Genomic DNA, 16741 nt, shown 5'->3' with positions numbered 1-16741 from the left:
ATGGCTACAAGTTAGTGTGTGCTTATGAAGTGCTGACCATGTAAGATTCATTAACTTTAGTCCTTGAAATATACTGCAATGTAGGCTTATTTATCATTTTACACATGGGGAAACTGAGGCACAAATAAGTGCTCATGGTCACACAGTAATAAGTGCAAGAGCTGGAATTCCAAGTTTAAATTTCTGATCTTATAACCTTGGCTGTTTTCTAATATATCTCTAAAAAAAGAAGGCCTAATTTGACATACCAAGGGAATACTTCAAATCTCTTCAATAACCAATTTTAAGTTCAAGAATGAAGAAGTCTGTTTAGTTAGGGGCACATGTTCTAGTTAGCTAAACAATGACTATCAAAGGAAAAGAAGTACAAATTACAGGTAAGTATTTCTGTTTAAGGGAAAATGCCTAAAGCTTTAAAAAACCATGAAAGAAAAGAATTTAATATTAAATTCCAATCCTCATATTCAAATATTTTTTCTGCACATCTCATCTCTACTTCAAAAAGCTATCTACGATTCAGAAAACAAGTTAGAATTGTTGGGATTTATGTTCAAAGTGTTTTTATTAAATTGAGTTTGCTGCATAGCTATTATCATTAATATAACTATGAAAATTGGTTGAGTTGGCAATTAAGTTTTTTGACATGCTGGCTTAATTGCTAGATAATTGCTAGCTGAATTGTACTTAGCAGATGGTTGGAAAGAATGTTGATACAAAAACAGTCACATTATTCACTAGAGCCAAGTTAGTATCCTTGAATCATTGTTTTTGCATACAAGCATAAACTGTATTTTAAGAAAAATTTTATATTACAACACCTGTATATAGTATTAATTTAACTCAATGGTTCCAATAAATTCCATTTAGAAAAATACAACTTATTTTGGATGGTATTACTATCAGCCACATAAATGAACATCAGGAAAATTACATAGAATGTTTTAGATGAATATATTAGTTATGTGAGTACATTTTTGGAGGAAATGGCTTCAAAGTTGTTCACATGAAATACCCTAGATTGTTGAGATGACACAAATGCAACATAAATCATTTAAAAATTACTGGTATATAATTGTGTTTATTTAAATCTAATAATGGTTTTAGTAGAGATATTATATAATCCTTATAAAACCATTTAATAGGTTTTATAAGGACTTTTCCAAATTTCATTCAGCTAGTAAGTTAAACTAGGTCTCTAGTGGGATGTGAACCTAGTTTTGTTTTATTCCTGTCTGGGACCTTAGATAATGTAAATCTGTTTTCCACAAGGAAGGTGAATTCGGGAGGAAGCAAACCAGAAGTGGAGACCAACTAAAAGGTGATTTTTAGGGGGATGAAAATGTCCTAACTGATTTGTGGTGATGGTTGTATCACTTGGTAAAATCACTAAGTCATTGAATTGTACTCTTGAAATGAGTAAATTTTATTCTATGTAAACTGTACCTCAATAAATTGGTGTAAAAAATAAGATGAATGCAACAGAACATGTGAGAGATGATGAGGGTTTGGGTATTGGCGTATCTTTAGGAAAATAGAGGGAAGGGGTGAAAAATATACCCAAGGTAAGATTTGGCAACACTGCTATGGTAGGAATAGAGGATAATGTTGAGACTGGCAATTTGATGGACAGGATTTATGTAATAGTGATGACAGAGATAGGGTACAGAGGAGTATATCTAGGTAGGAAAGTGAGGAGAAAGAATTCAATTTTGAAAGACTGTGATTGAGTTATTCACAAGATGGCTTCAATATTCCCCTTGGCTTGACTAAACTACAGGTAGGTTTCTTCCTGACCATAGGCCCTGGAGCATCCTTTCCTTAGAGTGTTTGCTTTAGCAAACTTGCAATTGTAAATTCTTTCTCTGCCCATTTGAGAGGCAAATTTTCTGTAACCCAGGAATATTTTTCTTAAGATTCAGGAGCTATCTCTTTGACATGTTATCATTGAATAAGATAGAGCCATTGTCTTCCAGTCTCCTTGGGAGAGTAGCAGCCTAACTTTAATAAGAGCTAATTAGCAAACACAGATGGTGGCCAAATATCCTCCTCCAACATCCCCCAATACTTTTCCATTAGCTTGCTCCAGCATTCAAGAATCTGCCTGCCTTTAGCTCATTCTAGAATTCAAAAAATTATTCTGCCTTTTATTTTTGCAGAGTTGAGTTCAATTTTATCTCCTATTGCAATAGTCTTGAACAAAGCCTTCCTTGCTGCTTTTAGTAAGTGTCCAGGGCAATCTTGCCTTTACAGTTAACTGAGGAAGCACTACAGGAAGCACTCCAGTAAGCAGTTGAAAGGTTTGATCTAGTTGCTAAGGACAACTCAATGTCTTTTCACCCCCTTATATTTAACTTCTTTAAAATATTTAATTTTTGTACTCAAATATTTCTACAAGCTTGCTATGGAAAACAGCAGCGTTTTGTTCCTACCTGTTCACCATTTCCAGCTCCTTAAAGGCTTTCCACTCACTTGGCTGAATCTTTTAAATACATGCACTCCTATCTCTAAATATTGTTTATATTGCTACTTCTCGATCAGTTTTATGCACTATCTGTTGACATTATCCCTAGGAAGCTGAGGATTCAGTTCTTGGTCCTATAATCCCCATTCACTTCCCATCTCTCTAGAGAATCATATTGTAAATTGGATTTAATAAATTTTCAGTTTTTACACAATTTTTATGGTGAAAGTACTTTGTGCAGCTAAGTTGTTAGTACAGGATGAATACTTTTTCTTTCCTGAAGAATATTTTATTTTCTCTAGAATTAAAAATTGCCTCAAGTTTTAAAAATTCGTTCTCTATGTGCTTCTCTTTACGTACTTATGCAAACTTACCCCTCCTTCTCAACCAATCCTCTTTCCCACCCAGTAGCTATTTCATCAATTTTGATGTCTTAAAAAGTCTATCCCAGAGCTTTTGAGCAGTTCTGATCTGGACTCATTTCTTTCCAGATCTCTTGCACAGCTCATCTCCTAGGATCTCTGTTACCTCTATCTTGAGAATTCCTTTTGTTTTTTGCTTTTAGAGTCCATGCTTTAGGAAGGCTCTGTTTTTCCTCTTTCTTGGTTTATCGCTGTGTTTTTGGTGAAGTACTCTTTTTAGTACTTTTCAGAGAAAGGGCATATTAAAACAGTTAATTGGAAGGCCATTAGGCTGAGATGGTTCCCGTGCCTTGGGTTCCCACATAGGTAAACTGAAACCCAACTCAGAATGAATACAGATGACCTAGGAAAACTGAAACTAAAGCTTATTCAGATATTCATCGTGTAATTCTCATATCCTTCCCCTATTTTCCATTTCTGTTTTTTTTTCCATATTTTCTGGGAGAGTTTTTCCAATTTTGTCTTCCAATCATTGTATTGAGTTATTTATTTGTGCTATCATATGTTAATTTATAAAAGCTCTTTTATCAGCGCTTTGAATACTCAGTTCTATAATTTTATGTTTTTATTACAGTATCTTCTCATTTCTCTGAGGGTATTAGTGTTTTTTTTTTCTTTTTGAAGTTTTATTCTTCCTGTATATGTTTGTTTCCTCTGACTTCTTTTTTTTTTGGCATTTGCTTATTAACTATGTTCTTTGATCTGGTGATTCTTGTTTGTTCACATTAACAGTAGGGCATTAAAATATTGACTGGCAACTTTGTAAGTATAGAGAGATACTGTCTCTGTAGGTGGTCTGGCTGAGTGATTCCTTAGTTGACCCTCTATCAGCATCTTTAAGTCTTTCCTCTTGGGCTGCTCATGTTCTCAACTGAAGACTCTTCTAGTGTCCTGCCAGTGCTGTGGTAGCTGAGTCAGGGAGAAGGTGGGCATTTCTACAGTAATTACGGAAACTTTCTCCCTCTCTGCTTTTAAGTGCTCTCAAGTTTCCTTATTGTCTACCAGCCCTGAGACCCACTGTTTTACCTTCACTAGAGGAAACTTCTCCAGCCTTCTTTCAAAGTGCAGTTGGGATAGCTGGGACATAGGAATCTGTTTCCTAAACAGACTTTCAACCATTTATTTTCCAGGGGAATATGATGCCTTGAATTCTGAGCTTTTTGGGAGTTTGTGATTAAAATTGGACTTGGATTTCTAGGATGTGCTAAATTAGGTATACCTCCTGTCCAGCTGCTAAACCCTTTCCTTGTTTTTAATGCAGCTTCAAGAGAAAACACTGCTCAATTCATGTGTTTAATTCATCATCTTTAACCGGAAGCATCACCAATTCAATCTGAAGTGTCAATGAGAGCAGTAAGGTATTCAGAACAGAAATGGTAGTCATGTTATAGGCTACAGCAGTCAGATCATATCTGGAGCAACACTTTCCATTCTGAGCAACGTAATCTGTGTTGACAAACTACATAATGACTAGAGAAGAGAGATGGCAATAGTTTAAGGTGCAAAACCAAGTTAAATGAGAAGCAACTAAAGGAACTGTTGATATTTCTCTAGACCAAAAAGGCCTCTACGATGCTGTGATCAAAATTTGAATGCAGTTAAGATGAATACCCATAGGCCAATGATATCAACTCTCTGTTCAAAGGTTTTGGAGGGGTGAGAATACTATAGCTCCCTTTAAATATATATGTGTGTGCGTATATGTGTATATATATATATATATATTTATTTGTTTTGAGATGGAATCTCGCTGTCGCCCAGGTTGAAGTGCAGTGGCGTGATCTCAGTTCACTGCAACTTCCACCTCCTGGGTTCAAGCAATTCTCCTGCCTCAGACTCCTGAGTAGCTGGGATTACAGGCATGTGCCACCACATCCGGCTAATTTTTGTATTTTTCGTAGAGACAGGGTTTCACCATGTTGGCCAGGCTGGTCTCGAACTCCTAACCTCAAGTGATCCACTTGCCTCAGCCTCCCAAAGTGCTAGGATTACAGGTGTGAGCCACCGCGGCCGGCCACTCCCTTTAAATTCTTAATTGACTGTTGTATCACAAAGAATTAGACATTAAGTTTCTTTTCAGAGAACATAAGAGTGATAACTGAACCAAGTGAAAGCAAAATACATTTTAGCTCAGTGTAAGGAAAACCTGCAATGGGAGTCTCAGACATGAATGTGAACAGGGACCAAATAGATAATATAAATACATGAACTGGCTGGATAAAGATATTAGCAAACTGAAAAGTGCATGCCATGTGTAGAGTGATTGAGTAGCAGTATTGAAAAGTTCAATATTTTCAAAAGAGCTCATATTTTGAGATTTGTTTACAATACTCCAATTTTTGGACATTAATTTATTTTTGAAAACTTCATCTCTTATACCAAACATATGGGTAGGATGAATTTATCTTGTGGGACTCCTGCTTGTAACCTCTCTAAGACGTAAGTCTAACATCCCAATGTTATCACTGGAATTGTCCCAGTCAGACTTGGCTGCTCATGTATCAGGAATAACAGTGAGAATAAAATTGAACTAAATAATGTCTAATAATTGCCTTTTCACTTCAGAAAGTCTGCACTTGAAATGTAATTTTTTAAAAAATGTAGTTACCCATGGAGTAACTGTTCCCATTGCATGCTATCCAGTCTTTTTACTTTTCCTTCTTGTGCTTTTCACTGTTTTTGTTCACTTAACATCTTTGCGTAAAGCATGTAATTTGTGCTATGCATATGTGGCAACTTATATGCGGCTCTTTTAAAAGAATCATCTAACAATGAGGCAAAATTGCTGGCCGAACTGATTTTAAGTGTTACTTGTGGTTTTCTATAATCTACATAGTCACTATATCCCCAAAGAAGTTGTGTGATGTAATGGAAAAAATAATACATGCATGGTGGATTCACAGTAATCATAGTTTTAGAAGCCAGAATATACATTTGAGGCCATAACCCATTCCTCTAGTTTACATTTGAAAGACTTGAGACCTAAGAGAGTTAAATGACTTGCTAAGTTGTGCCCAGTACATAATACCTGGTGTTGGGTAGAGTTAGGGAAGAGAAGACATGATCTTGTTCTGAGGAACTTAACAATCTCAAATGACAGGACACCACACACACATCTATTTGAGCAATTTAAGGTATAGAAAATCCAAAGTAATGTACTGAGAGCTTAGGAGTTCGCTTCCAAAAAAAAGATACTATGGAACTTGACCTCAGGCACAGCCCATGTTGTGTGTCCTTCCCCACACTTTCAGATTCTCCATCTCCTTCCTGCCATTATTTCTCTGCTGGAAAATTTCACTATTAAATAAATAACTAATAGTAAATTAGGAGTGAGAAATTTATGAAAGAGTAATAATGAAGAGTAAATGCTAGCTACCAAGTAAGTAATTAGCTTTCAACTAATTAAGCATTGTAATGACTGTCCCCTTGAATAAGGAGCCACTGAGCATTTTAAAATGAGTTTTAGTGCATTTCACTCTACTTTCCATAAGGTAGTGTTAATTCTTTCCAAGCAAACCTGATTTTTTTCGTGAAGAAAATATAGTAAAATATATAAAACATTTATCTTTTATTTCTATAAATACACTATTCAGGAAACAATTACTAAAAGAATGGAGTTACAAATTCATTTTCTTCATAAAAAGTTAAAGAGACATAAATATCAAAGGACTAAGTCTTATTATTTTAAAAGCAACTGTCTCATGACTGTAAAAGTTTAAACATGTTCAAAAGTAAGTGACATCTCATGAAAAAAAGATGCAAGCTTTGAATTTTAGTGTTACATTTCTAAATGATCTTCCAAAAAGATATATGGAAGGTATTAGTCATTGCAGCAAACTGAAAGGTATATTATGATGGAATAAGGACCACATTTTTCTCTTTGAGGTGATTTATATTTAAATGAGTTCTCCATATTTAAATGAGTTCTCCATAATCCTTTAAACTGAAGTGCAAATTGGTTATCAAAGTCCTTTGCTGTAAGGGTTGTTTTACATAATAATGAATTTTACAGAGTTCCTCAAAGGGAAATATTGATTTAGGCAACATGACAGAATATTTCAGTTACAGTAACATTTCAGTGCCATAGACAGCATGTTAAAAACTTTCTAAAATCTATTTTTTTTATTAAAAAGTATAGGCAAGTATGCCTTTCTGAATTGGAAATAATACATTTGTAATAGAAATCTTTAATTAAGAAAGATTCCATTTAGTCTATCATTCCTCATCTACCTTAACAAGGGTTAGTGTGAGTTGACCATGTGCTAGGTACATGGCTTATGTTTTTTAAAAATGAGCCGTATGAAAGTCGGAGGAAATGTCCATTTGCCTGTACATGGGTGTGTTGCTACTAGTCCTTGATAACTCCAATTATTATATTTTTAACTCTGTGCTATATAGTTTACATATGCCACTTTGTTCATTACTCACCATGTGAGGCAGCCATCAGTATCATTTTATAAATGAGAAAACTGTGAATGTGGTATACAGCGATTTGAACCAGAGTTTATTTCTCTCATCCATTATGCTACACTACCACCTCACATGTGCTTCTTTTCATTCTTGAGCCCTGTATGGCTCACTGCCAAGGGTACGCTCCAACCCTCACCCCAGTGATATGAGTCAACAAACTGACAGGCTCCTGTGTGTGGTAGCTCAGGGGCCCTAGGTCCCCATGAGTTCTCATCATTTAGGTGTCACCCAGATAGCCTTACTTTAGTGAAATCCTGGGACAAAGCTCTGAGGAGAACCTGAGATTGGGGCTGTAAATGGGAAAGGGCACTAAATTCAGTTACAAGCCCTGAGTTTGAGACCGAGGTCTATCACTAATTAGATATACAGGTCTAGGAAAATCGATTTACTTTCCTGAGCCTTTGTTTTCTCATCTGCAAAATGAAGAGGTTGGATTTATCAAGGGCTTTCACACTTTATTTATTTATTTATTTTATAAGAAATGGAACTCTTCCAGCAAATTAAGTCTTATGTTGAATGCCAGTATCTAGAACAGATACAGGGAAGTTACACTGGTCAGAGGAAGGGCTGGGATTCGAAGAGGCATAAGTCTGTCTACCTACCGGGTCTCTTCCTAATCCCCATCTTAACTCCAAGGAGGCTTCTGAGGCGTCTAAAGCCTCATAGAGCACACTTTTCAAACTGTGGCCTACTTCTAAGTTTATACCAGGTCTCATATACTTGTGACTCAAAAAATATCTGTAGCCATATGAAAAGAGCATTAGACTGGTACTAGAAAGGAGCTGGGTCAGGGCTGATAATTCAAAAGACAGAGGCTATTAAATTGTAAAATATATGATCAAATAACTTGGCCTGTGGGTAGCCAGGTGCATGGTCTTAGTCTTGATGTTCCTGAACTTGGGTACTGAAGTCTTTCAGGGTGGCAGCAAAGGCAGGAGTTGGGCATTATAATAATTGTTGAAACCTGTCAAATTTTGCTGCAGTTAATTTAATTATATATGAATATTATGTTAGCCTGATAGCATTATTCTGTTAATTGATTTTATTTTCTGAAAGGTTACTTGATATTGAGATAAAGTTTCAACTGTGACTCAACTACTACTGATTATTCCACCAAAACACTTGTCCTTGCCTTTTATTTTTAGTATGAACCTTAGAAAAATTAGTTCATGTTCTCTAAAAGAAAAAAAATCACATTTTATTATTGCAACTCTGGGCTTAAAGACATTGTTGGCACATCTGTATTAAACACTGTTAAACTCAGCCAGTGTCTTCCTGGCCCTGTACTGCTTCTGTGATTGACAACGTTTCACTGGTTCAATTCTGACCTGTCTGTGATCAGAGATCACTTACCTGCCTCCGCCTTCTGCTGTTTCTCAATCTTCTCCAGGCGCCCTAGCAAGGAGTCAATTTTAGTTTTGATCTGGGTTAATTCTTTCTTGATGGTCTGTAACTCATCTGATTTCACTGGAAAGTAGAAAGAAGGAAGAAAACAACAGAGCATCAAATGCACCATAACTCACCTAGGACCGAACTCACAGGGACCCCGTATTTTCTCAAGTCTGTGTCAAATCACATAGGACATTTTTCAATTTTATCAACTTCACATTACTTCTAGTGATCCTGGAATACTGGATGATTTTGCCAATTACAAATACGGATTCTCAGTGACATGAGCGTTTAATCCTAAATCTTTTGACTGAAGGTTATGGAAATGGATAACGGAATTAAGAAATATTTTTTAAAATAACCCAATGATGCTAAATTTTACAAAATAGAGTAAATCTTCAATGTGAGAGGGATTCAGATGAAGCAATAATTAAATCATGCCAGATACTACTTTGAGGAACTATGTTGTAATATGTATTTCAGCAGTCAATGATATTTTAATCCAGCTCCTTGAAGATTGATGGAAACCAGGATATACAATTTATCCTTTAAAGAAAATGTCTTAGATGTGAGAAAACTCTTTCCAGCTCACTCAAAGCTGCTATGAAGCTTCAGTTTTCCTAAATAAAACTAAGGCAGTGAGTTGTACATGCCTCCCTCTAAGCCCTGGGCTTGATGGAAAGGAAAATCACAGAAGTTCTCACTGATAATTTCAATAGTAGTAGTTCCCATTCTAGATTTTTAGAGTTTAGTACAGTTTCAAAGAAAACAACTGGGGACTAACATAAGATGACAATTTTTCATTTTGCCAAGTATGGATGTTAAAAACAACAATAAATAGCCTACTATTGACTACAGTAATTATTTTATAAGGGAAAAAGGCTTAAGGAAAGAACAATCTCATATTTCGAAGACAATTCTTTAAATGAAATATGTTTATATTTGTAAAAAATTTACTGCACTGTCCTTATTTTTCTGAAAACCATTTCAATTTTATCAACTTCTCATTACTTCTAGTGATCCTGGAATACTGAATGATTATGCCAGTTACAAATGGGGATTCTCAGTGACACGAGCATTTAATCCTAAATCTTTTGACTGAAGGGTATGCAAATGGATAATGGAATTTAGAAATATTTTGAATCCACAACAATCAGAGATGAAAGATTTTAAAGCCATTACAATGGAACAGCTATATCTGCCTCCGAGCTTTTATTAGGTGGACTGGCAGTATTCACACCTCATTCAAGAGCCAAGTTTCAAGATCTTGGATACTTATTTGTTTCCAGTCTATTTATCTTCTGTCTCTTTTCCTTCTGGTTTCTAATAATCTCAGACTAGATATTCCCCAGAAATTTCTGAGGAAATTAGAGTGTTTAACTTGATTCTTTAGTCTTCAGACTTTTTTGAAAAAATAAAAAAACAAAAACAAAATGCAATTTATGTTTGCTTAAAATAGAACTATTTGTCGATTAAGATAAATGATATAATATACATGATATGTTATGGATCATAAACACTAAATCTTAAGGGAAGAACAGATTTTTGTATAAAAATGAGAAAACTTTTCCCATTGTCAAATCAGATTTTTTTTAAAGCAGACTTTTATTTACAATGCAAAGTAGTTTGCAAAATAAAAACTGCAAGAAGCATGGGCCCTCTAGAGTATCCCTCTGAGGAATGACTAAACTGAAAGTAGAACAGGGTAAAATAGAGAATCACTCCTCATGTCAATTACTTCAAAGACATCAAAGTACCATTGTGGAATTGCAGCTAAATTTGAAAAACATCATCTGTCACAATTGCAAATTGATTTTGCTTTGAAGAGTGGTACTCATTCCTTTGATGAAGGCATATGTAGTTTTACTTAAACGTATCAAATTTAATAGAAAATATTTTATCTTATAACATTAGATTTCAATGCAGGAGAAATAAATAGGACTATAGCTGAAAACTAACAGAATATATTTCTTAGCAACTAGAGCTACTCCTTAGCCCAGGAATGCAGTTGACTAATTTTAATTTATGTATTGCCTTAAAAAACAAGCCAATAAACCACTACTACTCCACTTTATTGAAACTACATTAGAAAACAATATAGACTCATCTGGCTGGAACTTAGAAGTCTCCAGGGAGCCAAGGTTTCATTTAAGTCTAGACTCAGGTCTAGCACTGAAAGAACATCTTTCAGATCTCAGCTGGATTATTATGGAATTTGGGTCTAATAAGTTAATGTTACTCAAGAAACAATGTTGAAATGTAACACGGAAATCCTGTCAGTTCTTTCCTGGACCCTACCAGGAAATGTTAAAGTGAGCCTCTAACCCTATGCAGGCTGCTCAGTTCCCTCTTAGAATGGGGGGGCAGCAAATGCTCATCTAGGTCCTGCAAAGCAGGCTCTACAAATAGTCTTGGCTGCCTCTTGAGCAGTTGTAGAAGTCGTTTCCTCATCACACTTCAATATCTCAGTGCTGTCCTTGGGAAAAGGCTTGCCCCTTACCTAGTCCAATTGGCCTTAGTCCACTTTCTACTTTTCTTCATGCAGAGTCACTATCTATATATGGGGTACGGTTTTGTGCTATTACATGTGGTTTCTAGATGGAATGCCTGGGATGAACCTCCTCTATCTCTCATGTACTGCTCTTTCTAGCTCTCTTCTGCTTTTGTTTTCTACTTTTTCCCCTCCTGTTAACAACTTCTCTCCTGCACAGTGAATTATATTAAATCCCTATTTTTGCTTACTATTCTCTAGTAGTTGAGCATATATATATATATATATATATACATTACAGATATTTTAGAAGACATTGGTAATACTATCTTCACAGGAAAAATATCTTTTGCTCTTTTTCTCTAGATAAATTTTACCACAAAAAAAACTTGTCAAAAATTATACACAAACATGGTAAAACCCCGTCTCTACTAAAAATACAAAAATTAGCTGGGCATGGTGGCACGCACCTGTAATCCCAGCTACTTGGGAGGCTGAGGCAGAGAATTGCTTGAACCCAGGAGACAGAGATTGCACCGAGCCAAGATCGCACCACTGCACACCAGCCTGGGTGACAAAGTGAGACTCTGACTCAAAAAAAAAAAAAAATTATACACAAAAGCAAACATACTGTCATAATAAAAATCTCTGGTTGTCTTGTTGAGGACAACTTATTTTTCTATGAGTGATTATAGGGCTTGAATTTAGAATTACCAAACAAAAATCAGCAAAATGATAAATTAAAAAAATTACAAAGTTCCTAGGACAAATTACTTTAGCTTATTTTTAGGCAAGAAGAACACTAGAGAAATAGAAGTCAGGTTGCATCACTATCACTGTAGTATCTTTGTTTTTAAAAATAAGTCACATTAAGTCATTTCAGATCTGCTCTCTCTATAGAGTTCATTGATTTGGTGATAAATGTTATTACATTCTGATACAGTTGACAAAATGATTGTGCCTTCTGCTGTGACATAAGATATAATCCAAAAAGAATATTAGGCACACGGGATGATATCATCTGTCTATATAAAAATCTGTGCATTTCTGACTTATGTGGCCAAAAATATTTCAATTTATTTTAATCATCTTTGGGTCAAGTCTATTCAGGGTAAATAAAGAAGTTTCAGCTAACTGTCTAGATCCGTGGTTCTTAACATGGTGATTTTGCTCTGCAGGAGAGATTCTGCTGTGTCTGGAGACATTTTTCCTTGTTATGACTTGGAGGGGGTGGTCCTACTGGCTTCTAGTGAGGATTTAGTCTGCTCAACATCCTACAGTGCACAAGATAGCCCACACCGCATCACAGAATTATCTGACCCCAAATGCCGATCATGCCAAACTATTGAAACCCTGCTCTAGATATAACCTCCCTTACCAATACCATGCTTCCTATCAACTATTTAGAAAACTGAAAAATGTTTATAATCATGTGGACTTTGACAGTAAATCACATTAATTTGTTATTTATTTTCCCCAGCCATTATACATTATTTGAATGTCCAAAACAAAGAAATAAATAAAATTTGCATATCACTTAATTTATAAATCAGTTTTAAATACAGTATTTCAACAATAAAGAATCTGAGAATCTGATGATGTACATGATTTTCCCAAAGTCATGTGATATGCACAGGTAAGAGTTTAGGCTCAAACCTAGATTTTCTTACTTTCAATTCTATATTTTTTATTGTGCCATGCAGCTTCAGTTGATGTGAAAAATATGATCAAGGAATCACTGTGCTTAATTCAATAATATTCAGAAAAAGAAAAGGAAGGTTCCTGGAACTCTTTATCATGATCACTTCAACGCCTCCGCTCTGCTCCCATCTGTCCCTTTCTTTATATATATATATAAATATCCTATAATAAGAAAATGAACAACTGGCCTGAAGTTATAGGACAGGTGATACCCTTGTAACATAATACATAATACAATTTTTGAAGCTAATTTAATATGAAAAGGCTAATTTGCTAGTCTAGAAAATAGTTTTCAAAAGTCAAACTTTAAAGTATTTTGCTAAAATAAATTGCAGCAACTGGTTATCACCCACCCCATAGATGAAATTTCCTAGAACAGGGAATTACATATATATGCATATATATGTATTCATAATACTTATGCCTACATACATCTATACCCATTCTTTCTATATTTTTTAGAAAGAAAATGAAATGGAGAATGAGTGGATTTTATTCAGTAAGTATTCATTAAATGCCTACTATATGCATCTGTTCATCTTGCATTTCATTAGAAGCTGCAAGTGTATCATTTAATTTATTCCCAATATGCAAATCAGAATTGTTAAACTTACTTTTGGATTTGAATAGTGAATATTAGAGAAGTTAAGTAATGTGTTTAATTAAGATTGCTTAGCAGGCTGGGCATAGTTGTTCAGCCTCTAATCCCAGTGCTTTAGGAGGCTGAGGCAGGAGAGTTGCTTGAGCCAGGAGTTTACGATCAGCCTGGGCAACATGCTGAGATCCCTAACTCCACAAAAAATAAGGAAATTAGCCAGGCATGGTGGTATGCACCTGTATTCCTGGTTCTTCAGGAGGCTGAGGTGGGAGGATAGCTTGAGTGCAGGAGTTTGAGGTTACATGCCACTGCATTCCAGCCTGGGTGACAGAGTGATACTCTATTTCTAAAAAAATTTTTTAAGTGTTCTTTAAAAAGATTGCTTTAGCCAATAGGCAACAATTCAAGTTTAGAGTGGGCTGCCTGACTCCAAAGCCATGGGTATATAGGTCCCACCCTCCTACCCCCCACTGCCCATCATGGTGAACTGCCTCCCTGGTCTCATGGACTCTATAACTAGTGACAGACAAGAAACATGTAACTAATTTATTATTATGCATATAAAATACAAAAAAAAGAGAAATAGTAAAAATGTTCTGTCACCTGATATTGAAATTATCTCACATTTTTAAATTTTCTGGTCCCCCCTGCCCCCGACCAGATATAAGTGCCTGAAAATGAAAGATCATGTCTATTTTGTCTATGAAATAGTTCCTCAGGGCTCATGTCTATTTCGTCAATGGAAAATTAGTACCTGTCTGTGTTAGGTGCTGATTAATTGAACTTGTATCAGCTATGTGGGCAAAGAAAAAAGATAAATTAGTTTTGATGATAACTGATTGTGAAAATAGTCACAAAAGAATGAGTTTTTGAGTTATGACTGAAAAGATACTTTAGATTTCAGCAAGCAAAAACAGTCTTCTAAGTAACAGAAGTAGCAGATCTCAAATCACATAGCTTGAAAATACACGTCATACTGATTTCTTTTAGACCCTGGAGTGTAGGCCAGAATTTGTCCCCTTGTTTCACCGACTGATGCAACATATTCTGTAACTAATTTTCTCTGAACTGTAGCATTTCTAAAGATTTGGTTCAAAGTCAAATATAAAATGTATGACAAAAAGTAAAATGCAAAAAGCAAAAATAGTAGTGATGTCACATTTCACAAATGTTTAAGAGTATAATCTGTGCAAAGCATAATTAACTTGAATGAATTTGTAATTGAAAATAGAAAGATTAGATGTGCATACAAATAACTATAACATGAAGCAGAAAAGTGTAAGTCCCATAATAAAAAAACGAACAACTGGCCTGAAGTTAGAGGACAGGTGATGCCCTTGTAACATAGAGGGGTCTAAACTTGTCCTTATAACAAGAGGAAATTTATTAGACAAGACACACAAAGAGAGAAAACAGTGTGAAGACATGGGGAGAAGATGGTCATCTACCAGTCAAGGAGAGAGGACTGACACAGATCCTTACCTCACAGCCATCAGAAGGAACCAAGCCTTCTGACACTTTGATCTCCAACTTTCAGCCTCCATCATTGTGATAAAATAAATTTCTGTTGTTTAAGCCACCCGAACTGTGGTACTTTGTTATGGCAGCCCTCGCCAACTAATGCCACCCATCATATAGATGTCCTAAAATATCATTTTGAGCAGGTAGCACTTTGCTGAGAATTTTTTTATCTTGGCCCTGCATGAAATCTGAACCCTTCAATACTCTGCACAGTTTTTCATTATCCTTTTACCCATTTTTATATCTTGTTTAATAATAATGTCCTCAGTTTATTAACTGACATTCCTAGCAGTAAATCTTCACTTCAGATAATAATAGTTATTATTTTTACTGTCACAGTATTATCTATTAAGGCTTTTATATTAGCCGACACTGTTCTAAGAGCTCTACATGTGCTGGCTCATTCAATCCTCAGAACTCTACAGAGAAGGCAGTAAGATTATCATTCCCATTTTATAGATGAGGAAACTAAGGCACAGCAAGCAAGTACCTTGCTGCAAAACACACATAATAAATGGCTGAGGCACTATTGGATTCTAGGTTCAGCAATTTCATATTTAATACTCTTAACTGCTATAATAATTATAGTAGTAGCAATAATTAACCTCATTGAACATTACTATGTGCCTAAGCATTTTATATACATAAGTAATTCAATTCTTACAATAACTATTGGATACACAGTATATTATTTTCAATTTCCAGGTAGAAATTAGAGGTATATAGGGGTTAAAGGATTTCCCCAAGGCCACGATGGTAGTATACTATGGAACAGACTCCACTCCAGGCAATCTGACAGGAAAGCCTCTGTTCTTCTCCACCCAGATCTTGTCTCCCAGAAAGCAAGTATCTCTCATTCTATCTTTCAGAATCTACTGGCTCATCTAAACTCAGTTCAAAATCCTCTGTTAAGCCTTCTCTAACCTTTCCGGCCAATAGTACATTCTCTCTTTAAAAATCTCTAAAGCAGAATATACTTTGCCTAGGATAATGGATGGATGGGAATGTTTAATGATATGTTGCTGAGTATTAATATTATTTCTCTGGTTGATGCTTTATCGCTGTATTTCAATCATACTTTTGAGGGGAGGAACCCAACATAAGAAAGCCTTCTTAGCATTGGGGATAAATTCTCAATTTTAACTTTAATTGAATTGTCTTTAATTTCCTGTTAGATGCTTCAGGGCATTTATATTAGTTTGTCACCTATTCTGTCACTGAAAGTGCATTGACAGGTCCCCAAAGGCATTCAAACTTACTAGAGTCTTTCTTGTTAGACATTAGAATTTAAATTAATTCTTTAAAGAAATTGACTTGATCGAATTTTTTTTTCCAGAGGGCATCAATTTTTCCACTAAGAAACTACAGCTAAAGCTCACTGATATTCATGTTTTCTCTTTTGTAAAATGCTAATCTGCAATGTCACATTTTCTTTATTTTATGACTCTATGATGTCAGGAAAGGACAAGCTGATTATAGTTTTAGTTCAATTTGATTTTAAAAGGGACAGAAATGCCTAGTGGCAATCTATTTAAAGCAGTTCATTTTAAATGCTTATCAGTATTCATTTTTGGTAAATTATGACATTAATATATTTTCTTTATATAGTTTTCTCCTTAGCAGAATTCAGTCATATTACAAATTCTGAAATAAGAAATGACAAATTATCCAAGCTATAACATTAATTT

At 35.2% G+C, this 16741-nt stretch overlaps 1 protein-coding gene across 58 annotated transcripts in view; it reads right to left on the bottom strand.

Annotated features, from left to right (window-relative positions):
• The window catches only part of RALYL (RALY RNA binding protein like), a 739058-nt gene that overhangs the window by 39741 nt on the left and 682576 nt on the right, over positions 1-16741 (bottom strand). For 56 of the 58 annotated variants that reach the window (NM_001413301.1, NM_001413300.1, NM_001354325.2 and 53 more), the window contains one exon: positions 8707-8820. The exons of the other annotated variants lie outside the window; for them this stretch is intronic. In NM_001413301.1, the coding sequence (NP_001400230.1) occupies positions 8707-8820 (114 nt within the window). The remainder of the gene's footprint in view (positions 1-8706; positions 8821-16741) is intronic. 58 annotated transcript variants of the gene reach the window in all.

The sequence above is a fragment of the Homo sapiens genome, chromosome 8 (genome assembly GCF_000001405.40).
Source record: "Homo sapiens chromosome 8, GRCh38.p14 Primary Assembly".
NCBI lineage: Eukaryota > Metazoa > Chordata > Mammalia > Primates > Hominidae > Homo > Homo sapiens.
The sequence above is the reverse complement of the archived record's forward strand: the minus strand, read 5'-3'. Positions and strand labels throughout refer to the sequence as shown.